We start from the raw sequence: 14,565 nt of genomic DNA, 5'->3' as shown, positions 1-14,565 counted from the left end.
TAAAGAAATTTAGCATGGTTTCCCATTGGATCTCTTGGCTGACCCAGGGCAAAGAAGGCTATATAGAGAGGAGTAGGGCATCTGAGAAAGATGGCCAAGTGCGTTTTCAAACCCAGTTGACAACATTGTCAATTTCCCCACCACTTGAGCTTGGTCTAGAAGTAATCAAACCATTCCTTTGTCTCCAGGTATATGGGATTCCTCATGGTCTTTCTTCTCTAAAGGCCTGACTGTCCGCTTGTTAATGGGGTGACCTTAACTGTACTTTTCCAAACTATATTTCAAGTGTCCTGGATTGTTCTTCTAATCAGGACTGCACACCACCTGACCCCAGCCTACTCTTCCAGTCTGATCTCCCTTTTCACCCTCAGAACTCCAGGTTCTGGCCACAGCATTGCTGCTTTGTCCTGAATGTGTGTCTCTCCTTCATGCTATTGCCAGCACCTAAAATGTCCTTGCTTCCATTTCTATCAGCTTTGGTCTTACACCCACATCAAGACCTACTCAAATCACACTTCTTGCCTAAGGTCCCCCAGCTTCACCCATTATCCTAGATCTCTCCTTCCCCTGGTCTTCCATTGTGCCCATTGTGCCCTTCTATTTTAGCCAAGGGAAGCACACGACTATTAAGCATCTACCAAGTGCCAGTCACTGTCCTAGGTAGTAGTATTAGGAATCTGATTTTATTTAATCTTATCAGCACTTCTATTTCTTAGATCTCACCATCTGCATTTTATTAATGAGGAAATTGAAAACCTTCACAGTTCAGTGATTTGTCTAAGGTGGCAGAGCCCACATCTCCTGTGCTTTTCCAGGCTCTGTTCTTTCTTCTGTTCTCCTCTGTCTCCAAGGTGGAATTTCCCCTTGTCTGCCTTGTACATAGAAACTGGAGTCAGATAATCTAGGATCAAGGCCCAATTACCTATTTAGTTACTCTGTTATTTTGGCAGTTTACTTAACTCTTTGGCCTCGTTTCTTCATTTGTCAAAGAGGATTAAAATAATACCCACCCACCTTATCTCATGGAGGAGAGCTCCTCTATCCACAGATTGTGAGCCTCCTGGGATGAGACCTCAATGCACTCATCTTTGTGTCTTAGTACTGGTTGGCACTGGGCCTAACACAGTAAATGCTCAATAAATCCTTGTAATTCAATTACATGAAATTAAATTGAATGAGTAAACAGGTTAGGGAAAGAACTCAAACACCTCATTTTTTGGGTCCAGAATTGATTGTTCCCAACAGTGTCACCTGGAATGGATTTTGGTCACATTCACTCGTAACTGGTTTGCTATTTGCTTTGTTTAGCAAATTCCTTCACAGAAAGACAGGGAGGGAGTCTGGGAAGGCAGGATAATGGTGTGGGAAGATGCTGGAATCTGAGAAGGAGCTGAGATTGTTGGTTGAACATATTGCTGTCTGTGTGGAAAATGTTCACAGCAGTTACAACTTTGGATGAATATGCATTAGCGGCGGTGCTGCAATTTGCTCGCGTGTGCCACGCTACACTTGGAGACTTGGCAAGATGGGTAATTATCTCCACGTTATGTGCCTTGTCTCTTTCTCTTCTTAATTAAGTAACTAATCTGGTGGAGGAGAGCTCTGTTTGTGTTTGTTTGGCAGGTGCAGCCTCGTGACAGTTGTCTGGAGAAGTTTCTTGGAAATTTATGAGACTTTCAAAAAACAAACTGCTCGGAGCCGAGCCGACCTGCTGGAGCCTGGGAGAATCAGAGTCAGCCCTCTCCTGGAGCACAAGACAGTGTGGCAGTTGCTGCTTCTCCCAGACTGAGTGGCTCCTGCTAGGGGGGCCCGCTGGGGGTGCCGACCTTCCAGAGCTGTCCCAGGGCAGCGGGAAGCAGGTGTCTCCCAAGGGCAAGCTCTCCTTGTAGGGAGGAGGGAAGTCAGGGACTGGAATTAGAATAACAATGGGTTCTTCTTTCTACTTTGTTTCCCCCTGGATTTCTGTATTTGGGTAGTTTTTTTTCCCCTCAGTCCCATGGAACTCTCTGTAAAGGAATTGATTAAACAAGCTAAGTGCTGAACTTATTGAATACTGATCACGTGGCTTATGGGTAAACCTGCTGACATAAGGGTGCTTGGCTGGGCTGGATTAGTTGAATCCAGATGACGCAGGCCAGTGACCCGGGAGGTGTTGGGTTCCATGCTGCTGCAGTGTGGTCATTCAGCAGAGGGCATGGGTCATCATCACACTGATGGCTCTTCCAGGCTGCACAATGACCAGCTCAGGCTGGCCCAGGAGAGTGGAGGATGGTGCAGATTCTTTCAGGGCCATGAGTTAGTTGCAGGAGAGGGGTGGGGATGAGCCGGGCCAGCTAATGGTAGGATGTCACAAATCCAGGGAATGCAATTGAAGGAGTTACCAAGGAAGTGCAAGTGACCATGCTGAATCTTGCCAGCACACTTATGTGGGTCACAGATAGTGCTGCCAATCATGAGGAGAATCCCCTAAACAAACATAGATGCCCAATGCAGACAGATACAGCTGTGGGCTGCTTAGCTCAGATAGCTGCCCTGGGCCAAGGGGCCCTTGCTTTGAGCTTTGAGTTCTGGTTCTTTATTTGAGGTGATGGGCTTGTCTTCTGCGTGGTTATATACCACCCAACACACATCCCACTTCAATGACATGAGCTGTCAGACTCCCCAGTTAGTGGCCCATGCCGGGGGATGGCAGTATGTCGCTGTGGGAGGCAGAACTCTGAGATGATCTCTAGGATTACCCTGGTGCACACACACCTTCCCCTGTTTGTCAAACCCTTCTTGGTACTGCTGTGAAGGGATTTTGCAGATGTAATTAAGGTCCCTAAACAGTTGACTTAAAAACAGGGAGATTATTGAGGGAGACTGACCTAATCTCATGGGTCCTTTAAAAGTACAGCGTTTTCTCCAGCTGGTTGCAGAAGAGAAAGTTAGAAACTTGAAGTATGGGAATGATTCCATACACCATTTCTAGCTTGAAAATGGAGGAGTCCATGTGGCAAGAAATTTGGGTGGCCTTTGAAAGCTGAGAATAGTCCGTAAGAAAAAAGACCTCAGTCCTACAACCACAAGGAAATGAATTTTACCAACAAGAAGAATGAGCTTGAAAGTGGATTTCTCCCTAGTGCCTCCAGTTGAGAACTCAGCCTGGCCACACCTTGATGTCAGTTGTGTCATTACCTGATCAGGCAATAGCAACGCTGTGCCCACTTCTGACCTATAGAGCCATGAGCTGGTAGACAGATGCTATTTGAAGCCACTGAGTTTGTACTGATTTGTTCTGCATCAATAGAAAATAAATACAGATGGTTGGCCTCCCACTTACCTATGAGAAAAGTTGCTAAAAGATTCTGACATTTCTTTTACAGTCTAGGTACATGTGGACCTGGACTCTAATCTTGACTTTGCCATTGGCTTGCTTAGTGATCTCAGACAAGTCATGTCCCTTCTCTGGCCCTCAGTTTCCTCTTTGGTAAAAGTAGGAGTTGGACCCAGTGATTTTTAAGGTCCTTCATAGGATGCTCATTCTAATTGAGCCATATTCTGCTCAAACTCCTTTTATGAATCTCCACTGCCTTTAGGAAAACGGAGGACCTTCCTCTCTCTGCTATTCAGAGTCTCCATAATTTGGGCCTAGCCTCACTCTGGACCTTGCATTCCACTTCTTCTCTCTGCACTCCTGTGCTTCACCCAGATCCCACATACCACCTTGCATATTGGCGTTCATTCTCCTCCATTTTCCGTGTTGTCCATCCCTGTCACCAGCCCAAAAATTGAACACACAAGTTTCCGTCCTAATCACTTTGGGCTTCTGTAATGGAATACCATAGCCTGGGTGGCTTAAACAGCAACAACTTATTTTCTCACAGCTCTGGATGTTGCAAGTCTGAGGTCAAGGTGCCGGCATGGTTGGGTTCTCGGTGAGAGCCCTCTTCCTGGTTTATATAGGGCCACCTTCTTGCTGTGTCTTCATGTGGTGGACAGGGATCATCTTTCTTGCGTCTTTTTTTCTTTTTTTTTTTAATAGATAGGGTCTCATTCTGTCAGCCAGACTGGAGTGCAGTGATGTGATTATAGCCCACGGCAGCCTCAAACTCCTGGGCTCAAGTGATCCTCCTGCCTCAGCATCCCAAGTAGCTAGGACTACAGGTGCACATTAGCCACCATATCTGGCTAATTTTTAATAATTTTTGTAGAGAAGGGCTCTCGCTACATTGCCCAGGCTGGTCTTGAATTCCTGGGCTCAAGAGATCCTCCTGCCTTGGCCTCCCAAAGTGCTGGGATTACAGGCATGAGCCACCCGATCTCAGCCATATTTGCATAATTATAAGGACTCCACTCTCATGACCTAATCACCTCCCAAAGCCCCACCTCCTAATTCCATCACAGGGGCAGTTAAAATGTCAACATCTGAATTCCAAGAGGATGCAAACATTCAGCCCACTGCACTACTCATCTTCCAAGGTTTAGCTTGAGACATCTGCTCCAGAAGCTTTCCTGATATCTCCATATGAGTAAGGCTGTCTTTGGTGGTAACTATAAAAACCTCAACTCAAGCTAGGTTGAGAAGAAAAATACGGAAGCTAGTGATTCATGTAACTGAGGAGTCTATGGTTAACCTGAGGCACAGATGGATCCAGGGAACAAATTATGCCATTGGGACTTTGTCTCTCTCTAGCCATCTCTTTTCTTGGCTTCCCTTTTTGAGTCAGTGTCCTTCTTTATGTGGGGTAAGGAGTATGGCCCCTGGTAGCCTGAAGCCTGATTCCTTATGGATTGAAAGTCAAAAGGAAGAAGTTTCCTGTCTCTCCCAGCATCTCTTTCCCCCCTCAGCATCTCGGTTTTTAGAGGAAACCCTAGCAGTCCTGCTTGGCTCACGCAGCCGCCTAGAACCAATCACTACATTCACATAGGCGCCACCTCTCTGATTGGCCAGTGAAGGGGGGGTCACTTACCTGAGTCTTGGTAGGAAGGGGACTGTGACTGATAACCTCACCCTGACCACCTGGCCTGGGGGAGGTGTGTCCTCCAAGGAAGAGCAGATGACTGGAAGTGAGAAAGTAGAGCCGGTCAGACAGGAATGAGAAATGCCCACTCTCTCCTTGCCTGGTCTTGCTCTGGGCTTCTGCTGGCCTCCTATCCTTCCGTTCATTTGGCCATCATCACACACTCCCCTGCACAGGAGATATATGTATTCCTATATGCAGAGAAAATATAACTGGTTGCTATTTTTCAATAACCAGATCTTCCTCTCAATACTGGTGAGCAGGGAAAAAAAACAATTTGAATTTTTTAATATGACTGAATGTAGTTGGCTCTAATAATTTTGAACAGCCCCCCTAGGAAAATTTTTGCTCATTGGAGTAAAAATACTCAACTGTTGCACTTGCTAAGGTGAGGTCCACATACATGGGAAGATGGGCTTACAAATCCATATGGTGACAGTGTGGGGGATGAGTCTAAGCCCCTGGATGGGGTGTCCTGTCCTCCTCTGCCCTGTCCACCTGGGTGTTGTTTGCTCTGGGATCATTTGCTGCCAGAGCCTGAGGCAGGGGAAGACTGTGATGGGTCTCCATAGTTCAGTGGCACCTTTTGGCTGACTCTGCCTCTTCTCAATGCCCATGGATGCAGACCTGCTGAGGTCAGCCAGTCCTGTGTCTAGCCCTCTGGCCTGCAGTCCACCCCTAGCCTTGGTGAAGGGTTCATCACCCCCTGCTGCAGCCATTCCTATGTTGGGGGAGAGTGAGGGGCTCACACCCATTGTATTCTCCCTCTTTCCACCTCCAACTTTTGGCTGGGTCTTAATGTGTCATTGCTTGACCAGATTGCTTGAGCCTTAATGGCAAACGGGGCCCATGTTTTGCCCACTGATTTTAGGAAGAGTGTGAACTATCCCCTGGTCTTGGTGGTTAGCATGCTAGTGGAGAAGATAAAGGAATTTTAAATATCCTTTCTGAGACAATAGCTGGGTTCACCACTAGACTAGTGCTCTCATGCGTAATCCTATTTTGTCTGTCAATAACTGAATATTGCCTCAATCTTTCTTTCTGCATCCCTTTGGAAACAAAGTCTAATCTCTCTCCAGGCAGACAGTTCCCTGAGATGGACCAAGGTCACCCTCCAAGAAAGCAAAAAAGAAAGCACATTAAAGACTAAAAATATCATCAGACCACATGTGTGCTGCTTGTTTCCTCTGCTAAATTGCCTGCGCCTTGAAGGCAGGAGCCATGGGGCACCCTATGGAAAGCTACTTACCAAGCAGTTACTCAGTGAGTGTACCCTCGCTGGGTAGAACTATGAGCAAGACTGGATCACTTTTATTTTGTAAAGGGATTAATTAATTCCTTCAGCAGACAGTGTGTGCCAGCTACTGTGCTGGGCACTGCAGGAATACAAGGATGGATTGAAGCTGAAAAGCATGCTGTTTGCTTAAACCCACAATTCAGACAACCACCTTAAAGTATGGGAACTATTGGATGATTAAATGGATATTGAAAAGCACTTGGGAATTCCTGTCTACCTCCCACAGTGCCCTCCAGGTCCTCAAGGCTGCTTGAAACATTCTGCAGGTCTCCAGTGCTCCATTTCTTTCACTCCTTCCCTGTTGGTGTCGAGCATGCAAAGACCTCTGTTTCTTAGAACGTGCTTAATGTGTCATTGCTTGACCTGATCTATAAATATTGGTGCCCGCAGTGCCAACTCCCTGATGCATGATGGGGAGCCACCCTGGAAGTGTGGTTCAGTTGAGCACCTGATTTATTTCTTGGGTTACAGACGAGTGAGAATTCTTAATGGAAGTAGCTTCTTTAGTGACCCAGGGAATGTGGAAAGTGCAGAAGCCCGTTAAATCCTTTCCTCCTTGATATTTTTTTTGGCCATAACTGGCCTGCATTTTATGGTCTCCACTCAAAGACAGGCTTGCCTGGGGATTGGGGACTGATTCTGGCTTTTGGGCAACTCACACAAGCTGAGTGTAAATTGCAGACCCATTGTAGCTAAAATAAGCAAATGAGGCTGCAGTAATTTTAGGACAGCAAATGGATGCTTGCAAAGTGGTGTGGAAAGATGTTGTTTTTGAGGACAAAGGAAGGGCGAAAGTTTGCCAAAGGACTTTGCCAGAGATGACTCAACGGATAAGCCATTTGGGATGGGGAAGCATTCTCCAGCATAATGGGATGGAAGGAACATCATACTTGGAGAACGGAATTTAACTCTAGGCCTGGATCTGCCACGGATTAGCTGTGGGACCTTGGGAAAGTCACTTTTCATCTATGGGTTTTGTTTCTTCATTGGCAAAATAAAGCTTCATTCTTAATTTTGGAATTCTCCAAAATTCTTTCCAGGTCTAAGAGGACGTGGTGTCATGGTTCTGCTGAAATGTCCTTGTCTTGGCACATTTGCAGATCTTCATGGTCTTCAAATTGGCTCTTTGTCATAGAAAGCACTCAAAACACCATCACTGCCAACCTTTGCACACAAGGGAAATGGCTCAGAAGTAGCTCAGGAGTGAGTGGGGAAGCAAGAGAAGGCTGGGCTTGATACTTGAAAGAGCCTCTTTTTAAAGGCAGTCTCTAAAGATGTGATTGAGTTAAAGCATCCTATTGTTGGGGGAGGCGGGTTGGGGGCGGGTGTGTGTGGAGAGCTGACCAATCCAGAGGGAAGAGTTGAGAGATTTTGTAACTGAGTCCCTTGTTCTTGCCCTGATGTTCACAAGCTATGTTATCTTGGACAACCTTTTCTGGACTCAGTGTCCCCATCCAGACAATGGAGAGACTCTCTCTAGGATCCTTTCCAGCTCTCTCATGTTAGGGCTCCCTGATGGTATGAGAAAGCACCTCCCTCATCAACACAAACATAAATCCTTAAACTCTCCAGGGCTAGAAAGGAGCAAAGTGTTCTGAAAGAGACTTGATCTCTCTGGGCAGCAGAAATCAAAGTTAATCCTGCAGGGAGGCAGAGCTGAGGGAGAACAGCTGGGAACTTGTCAGTACAGTGGCCTCTTCTCACCAGGAAGCTTCCCTGGTGGGTTCTGGGTTTGGCTTTAATGAGGCCTGCGGTTCCTTATAGAAACCCACTGGTCAGTCACAGTGTGAGGCATGGGACCAGAGAAAGTCAGAAAGACAACTTCATCATGTGCTGTGAATCACTCAGCTTCCTTGAGTTTTCTTGAGCAACAACCAAGCATCAGCCTCTCTATTGGGCACATTTCACATGCGGTATGTATTAAATAGTAATATTTTTCGTTCTTTGGGCTGCCAAAACCTAAGTCCTCTCCTAGCGATGAGTCTTGGTGGAAGGTAAAGCCCTGCCTTCCACCTTGGAAAGCAAATGGGGTAAGATGCTTCCTTGCTAGTCATCCGGGGGCATTTCTGGTGAGGACACCTGGCCTACTTCCTATAGTTCAGACACTCCCACCTGGATTCTGAATCATGAGCAAATCATCAAAGGTAAAGGGACCATTAGAGTGGACTCATGACAGAGCCCCACAGCAGTGGACCTGCTCATTTTGCCACCTACCGCTTGGCTGTCAGCAGCTACGTTCGTTTTCTCCATTTTGCAAGCCTTGCTCTTCAGTTCCCTGTTGATTCTGAGGTCCTTTCTGCTTGTGATAACCACAGCTAGTTTCTGTTGCTTGCAGCCCTGATTCTGGGTTGTTACTCTGCTCTTATCCCATAAAAACCATACAGGGAACTCTATCAGATACCTTATGAAAATCTTGGTCCCACCTCTTGCTCCAGCCACTGTGATGAGCAGTTCCAAGCAGGTTTTACCCACTATTCTGGGGGCTTTCACTTCCTATCCCAGGGCTTCTCTGATGCCAAAGCATCAGGTGGCTTGGGGACCCCATGGGCAGGGGAGGGAGCTGTGGAGCTGCCCTTAACCAGGGAGGAACAGAAGCCAGCGAGGAATGTTTTCTCCATTCCTCCCTGCATGGATGTTTCTGTGATGTATTCTCTAGGGTGGCTCAGAAGGTGACTGTAGCAGTGGCTTACTCCATAATGGATCCTTGTATGAGCTTCCCACCTCCCACGTTCCCCTGGCTGGTCCTTCCTTCTGGATCCTTTCCAAGGTAAATGACCTACAGACAAGCCTGTTTCTTGGACTCTGCTCTGGAGGGGACTGATGTCCAGACAGGAACTGAGACATTGAGACATTTAGGAACTTGTTCTTAGATCACACAAAGAGCAGAACCAAAGCTTGGACCCAGGCCCCTTTGACTCCAAGGTCTCTGGTCTTTTCCCTTGCCACAGGTCCTGAGTTAATAATGAGTGGGGAGTGTGACCAAGTCTGCACTCTGGGGTGGGCTGGGAGGGGACTCTAGTTGGCCCAGGAGAGGGGCAGTCCTGGCATCCTTAACCTGGTGCCAGCAGCTGTGCACACTAAAGCCTTTCTGACTTCTGAATATTTTTGTTCCTATCTAAAGAAGTTTATATCTTTTTCTTGGTTGGCTTCCCCTTCCCCTGTCTTTGAGCCTTGCCCTGCTTGGGGGAACATACTAGAATGTGAGTTGAGAGACCCAGACTTCAGTCTCAAGCCCACCACCAACTTGCTGTTTGACCATAGAACAAGGGACCTCTCCTGGCCCCCTGGGTCCCTGTCTGGCCAGTCTAGTGGTTTCTAGGTGCCCATATGGCTAGGCCAAGTCAGTCACTTGGGTGAAGGGTGGTGGGGGAGTGGTGCTAAGGGAAGTTTAGTAATTACATTCCCAAATTCTACCTCCAGAGATTCTGATTCAGGACCATCTGGTGGGGCCCAGGCTTCTGTATTTTTAACAGGCTCTTTGAGTTTTAATCGATTTCTCTCCACTTTCTTGATCTCTCCCTCTCTCAATCCCCTGATTTGGGAATGATTAGGGAATTCCAAAAAAGCAATTCCACTCCTAAATATCTCCTCTCTCAAATATCTCCCCAAATAACTGCACTTCCACCTTCCAGAGCAGGTGCCGTTTTCTGGAGGCCCCTGTGAGATACCCACAAGCTACCCTGGAGGGATGGTGCAGCCACGCATTGCCATCCGTGGCATCACACAGACTGCTTTATGCTATTAGGTGCAAACCTCCTTCAGAGATCAGGGTCTGAGGATGTTGGCATTTTGGCCATTGTCAGCACATTTCAAGACACTAAGGAACCCCAACAGGTACGGTATTTTCTGAACAGTGAGGGGACAGCCTGTGAGCACTGAAGACCAGACTCTGGTGCTGAAAGGGAGGTGATGGCATGGAGAGAGGGCAAGGGGAGTGACAATGAGGCTCACTTAGCTCATACAGGACCCCAGGAAGACTACTGAGGAGGGCTCAGAGGAGGCTGAGGCCCACAGTGTTTTCTCTGTCACTACTGTCTAACCCTGGGTGAGTTACTGTGCTTCCATCTGTCTGAGAACACACACACACTTTCTCTCTCTCTCTCTCTCTCTCTCACACACACACACACACACACACACACACACCAGCCATGCACAGGGCTATGTTCCCCATAGGCATGGCTGTTCGACATGGTCTCACCCCCATAGCTGATTGGACTGTGTAGTCACTACTTAAACAAAGCCACCTGTGGTGTCTCACCTTGAATTTGGAACTTGGCCAAGAGACAAAGTCTGTAGGTAGCTGGAAGTAATATGTCTCCCATGGGTATAGTTGGGCAGATAGCTGTGACAAAAGCTAGAGACAGAGCAAGCTGGTTTGCAAAGAGACAGCATTAAACAGAGACTCAGAGAGAGGCAGAGGAAAGAATGAGAGAGAAAGAGAGAGAGTCATGGGGCTGTCTGGGCGATAGCATCAGTACTTTTGTGAAGCAGCATTTTGCCTGTAGGTTCTGGGAGCTTCCTTGCATCTTTACAGAAAAGAAACAAGCAAACGACTCATGTTTTTTCTTAGTCTAGTCTGATTTCTGTTGCTCGCAATCCGACAGTGTCAACCAAGACACCTCCCCTCACAGCCTGCATCCACTGTCCCAGCAGGCAGCAGCGGCCAGGCCCCCAGGAGCAGGACAGACACAGTGTGAGGTTGCTCTCTTTACCCCGAGAGGCCCTGTGGTCCCAGCTGAAACATTGCAGCAGACCCCCAGCTAGCCACTCTTCCCAAAATAATGTTTTCAAAGCATTTCTTACAGAGTCTTACCTTGAAGAAAGATAATGGCCCTTCTCTCTTTACCTCTTTGCTGACATGCTGAGAGAATTTTCCACCGCCCAAACTACACGGTTCAGTGCCTCTCAAATTCTATCTGAGAAAAATACTAAAACAAAGATCCCGATTCAGCAGGTTGGGACAGGGCCCGAGAACCTGCATTTCCAATGGGCTTCTATGTGAGGCTGCTGGTTCAAGGGCCACGCCTGGAGTAGCAAGGGTTTAGACTTCCTCTGCCAGGAATCACAAACAAATTGCAATTAAAACCCCAGTACCCGTCAGCAGGTTGAAACCAAGTAACTCCTAAGTAGGACAAAAAAAATTCACTAGTTTTAATTAATAAAAAAAAAATCTGAATAGAACATTCTTGCTAAGAAATCCCATTTTATTCCTTGCAAGAGCACACAGGGAATAGTTTGCTTCTCAAGGAAAGAAGAAAATGATAAGCATGTGTTGTAATTAGCATATCAATGACTAATAATTAAAAAGGGGTTTCTAAAGCACTGGGGGTGGAGGGGTGGTTGAACAGTTTTTCTATCCCTCTCAAATTCTCAAGTACTTTAGATATCACCGTCTTCTTTTGGCTTGCTTATATTTATAATTTGGGCAGAGCCTATTTTCAAAAATAGAGAGATATTAAATTTCAGGGTATCCCTTAACGCAACATTCCCAGATTCCTCAGTAATGCAGCCCTATTGGCGGTGCCAATCTCCTCACCAAAGACATTGCTTTTGTTTTATTTTTCTCTTTCAAAAAACTGACATCTTAGCGCCTCATATCCATCTTAGTTTAAACAAATGTTTTGATTACATCCAAGTGAGAGCCCAACAAAAGCTGTTGGAGCTGAACTGACGCATTCGCTATTAGTTTTAGACAATTTGTTCTAATATTGTCTGGAATCATGCGTTTATACACCCATACAGATTTGATTACTTTACTTGTTTCATTAATCTTTATTTGTTTAATCATCTGTTTAATCTGTTTAATCATTGGTTTAAGTGGAAAGATTACATGAAGATGTTTAGCGTTGGCGCACACAGGCATTCTGACATGGAGCCCGGCGTTCCTTTTTGTCTATTTATTATATTCTTTTATAGGGCTTCATGAGCCACTTTAAAGCTTATAGGATGCTTTGGGGAATTCAATAATTTAGTAGTTCTTCACCACTGAACATGATGTATTTTTTAAATGTTATTTAAATAAGCAATATTTGTGGAATAATTTGACTTCCATTCTGGGCTCGCGGTTCCTCCTCTCCCAACCAAATGCAATATTTAAGTTGGCACCGAGACCATTCTTTAAGAAATTGGGAAGGAAGGTCTGGGAGACTGGGAGGGTTCTTTAGGATGAGAGAGCAGTTTCTTCCTTCTAGGTCTGTGTACTCGGAGAGTCCAAGTTTGATGTTGTTTGAAAGTGTGAGGCAGCACCCAAGGTCTGACATCATACTGTAACTGTCAGGAAGGTTATAAGCCCCCATCTCCCTGCATGCTGCGGGTGTCTATTGCTCCCCAGCCTCCACTCAGATGTGGAGGGCTTCAAGAGAGACTCCTGGGTGAACATGAATAACTTCCTCTGCATCCAATGCATTTAATACAGTGGTCACCATGCATCTATGGTGACAGCTTTTTATGCTATGCTCTCCAATTTGCTTGAGGATGGGAGGTGTAATGGAAAAACATTGTGCATCATGGTAGGTACAACAGGTATTATGTCAACAAGAGACAGACTAAACATCTTGGGTGGAGAGGGTAAATTCTTGGGAGAAACAGCAACACTGAAGACAGCACTGTGGGCAGAGCCCGTCTCCCTCTGCTAATAGAGACCCTCGCTCTCAACGGAGAGGCCCACCCACCTTCAGATCTTTGCTTTTATCAGCCCTACCCCCATCCTCCCCATCTTCCAAGGCCCAGCTTAAATTTCACCTTCTCTTACCCCAAAAACAGGTTGGGGCAGAATTAGGACTAGAACTCACTGCTTCTGAAATTCTGTTGAAAAAGAATTCCCTACCTCAACCTGTAACTTTCTGAACTTCTGCTCCTGTCATGAGAAGCTGATCTGAGAGTAAAGGTGATGCTGTTCTGCGCTGCTGTTTTCATCCTAATGAAGTGCCGTCGTTACACGCATTCTAAGTACGTTGATGTTGTGTCCCTCAAACCTCGCAGGAGGGTAGCTGGATTGTTAACCTTCTCATTTGTCTCCGTGGAAGGAAGGAGCCATGTGGGCTTTACAGCCCCTCACCCGGGGCCCTCTCAGACAGGGTTCCAGGAGGAGCATGCACCTGACATGCCTGAACACATCTCGGTTCACGCCTCTACTCCCTGGACACATGACCTCAGACAAATTGTTAAACATTGTGAGCCCTGTGTCACAACCAGCAAATGGGGACGATAATGGTCCTCACCCCGCATGTCATCAGGAGCATGAAATGACAAAACAAGTGTCCGTGCCTGCTCAGCCTGGTGCCCGGTGAGAGTGGGCACTGAGTCTGGCTGGTGTATGGGACCTCAACGCTGCAGGCAGGGAGTGCTTCTGCGGGCACGGGTGCACGTGTCTTCTGGGAGGAGAGTGGGCTTCCAGAGAGAACCGCTTTCAAATGGATACATTTTTGTATCTCCCTGTGTCCTTCTGTCTGTTCCCACCTCATCTGGAGGGTTCAGATTGTGCTGTTCATTTCCTGCGGCTGAGTCGGTGCCAGCCCTGCTGCCAGTACCTCTTTCCTTCTCCCAGGAATTCCACCTCCCCTCTGATTCCTTCCATTGTGCCTCCAGCCTTAGGCTTCTCTTCAATTGGCCCCAAGCAACCTGGACCCCAGGAGCCCCCTGCCTGTACTTCTGAAGGAATCACTTCTTTAAATGAAACCTGGGTGGCATTTGAGAGACATGTATTCCTTAAAAGCCTTCCTCCTGGGCTTCCGGATTTCAGTGCTCATAAGCCACCAGTTTCTGAAACTGCTTATTCACTCCTGCCTCTGTCTGGAGACTTACTTCATGCTCCCTTTAGTCTGCTTCTTTGTATTCCCAGGAGAGCTTCCCAAACACGCTTGAGAGGGTCTGGGAGAAGTTGGTGGCCCACAGCTCAGGATACCATTCTCAGCTTGGGACTTTCAACTGATGGCTGAGCTGAGAGCAGCACTGCAGTGACATATTTAGTAGATCTGTCCAGTTACGCACAGCCTTTTTTTTTTTTTTTTTTTGAGACGGCGTCTCACTCTGTTGCCTAGGCTGGAGTGCAGCGGTGCAATCACAGCTCACTGCAGCCTCAATCTCTTGGGCTCAAGCCATCCTCCTGTCTCAGTCTCCCAAGTGGCTGGGACAACACGTGAGTGCCACCATGCCTGGCTAATGTTTAATTTTTTTGTAGAGACAGGATCTTGGTATGTTGCCCAGGCTGGTCTCAAACTTTCTGGGCTCAAGCAATCCTCCTGCCTCAGCCTCCCAAAGTGCTTA

At 46.9% G+C, this 14,565-nt stretch overlaps 3 annotated features.

Moving 5' to 3' along the window:
- Positions 2,015 to 2,516: an enhancer, noted in NCBI's record as "H3K4me1 hESC enhancer chr15:70698815-70699316 (GRCh37/hg19 assembly coordinates)". NCBI's record gives its function as "activates a minimal SCP1, AML or CMV promoter by ChIP-STARR-seq in primed H9 embryonic stem cells {active_cell/tissue: H9 hESC(primed)}" and the evidence as "EXISTENCE:reporter gene assay evidence [ECO:0000049][PMID:30033119]".
- Positions 10,440 to 10,940: an enhancer, noted in NCBI's record as "H3K4me1 hESC enhancer chr15:70690391-70690891 (GRCh37/hg19 assembly coordinates)". NCBI's record gives its function as "activates a minimal SCP1, AML or CMV promoter by ChIP-STARR-seq in primed H9 embryonic stem cells {active_cell/tissue: H9 hESC(primed)}" and the evidence as "EXISTENCE:reporter gene assay evidence [ECO:0000049][PMID:30033119]".
- Positions 13,608 to 14,112: an enhancer, noted in NCBI's record as "H3K4me1 hESC enhancer chr15:70687219-70687723 (GRCh37/hg19 assembly coordinates)". NCBI's record gives its function as "activates a minimal SCP1, AML or CMV promoter by ChIP-STARR-seq in primed H9 embryonic stem cells {active_cell/tissue: H9 hESC(primed)}" and the evidence as "EXISTENCE:reporter gene assay evidence [ECO:0000049][PMID:30033119]".

The sequence above is a fragment of the Homo sapiens genome, chromosome 15 (assembly GCF_000001405.40).
Source record: "Homo sapiens chromosome 15, GRCh38.p14 Primary Assembly".
NCBI classification, from domain to species: domain Eukaryota; kingdom Metazoa; phylum Chordata; class Mammalia; order Primates; family Hominidae; genus Homo; species Homo sapiens.
Note: the sequence above shows the minus strand (reverse complement) of the source record. Positions and strands in the feature narration are given on the sequence as shown.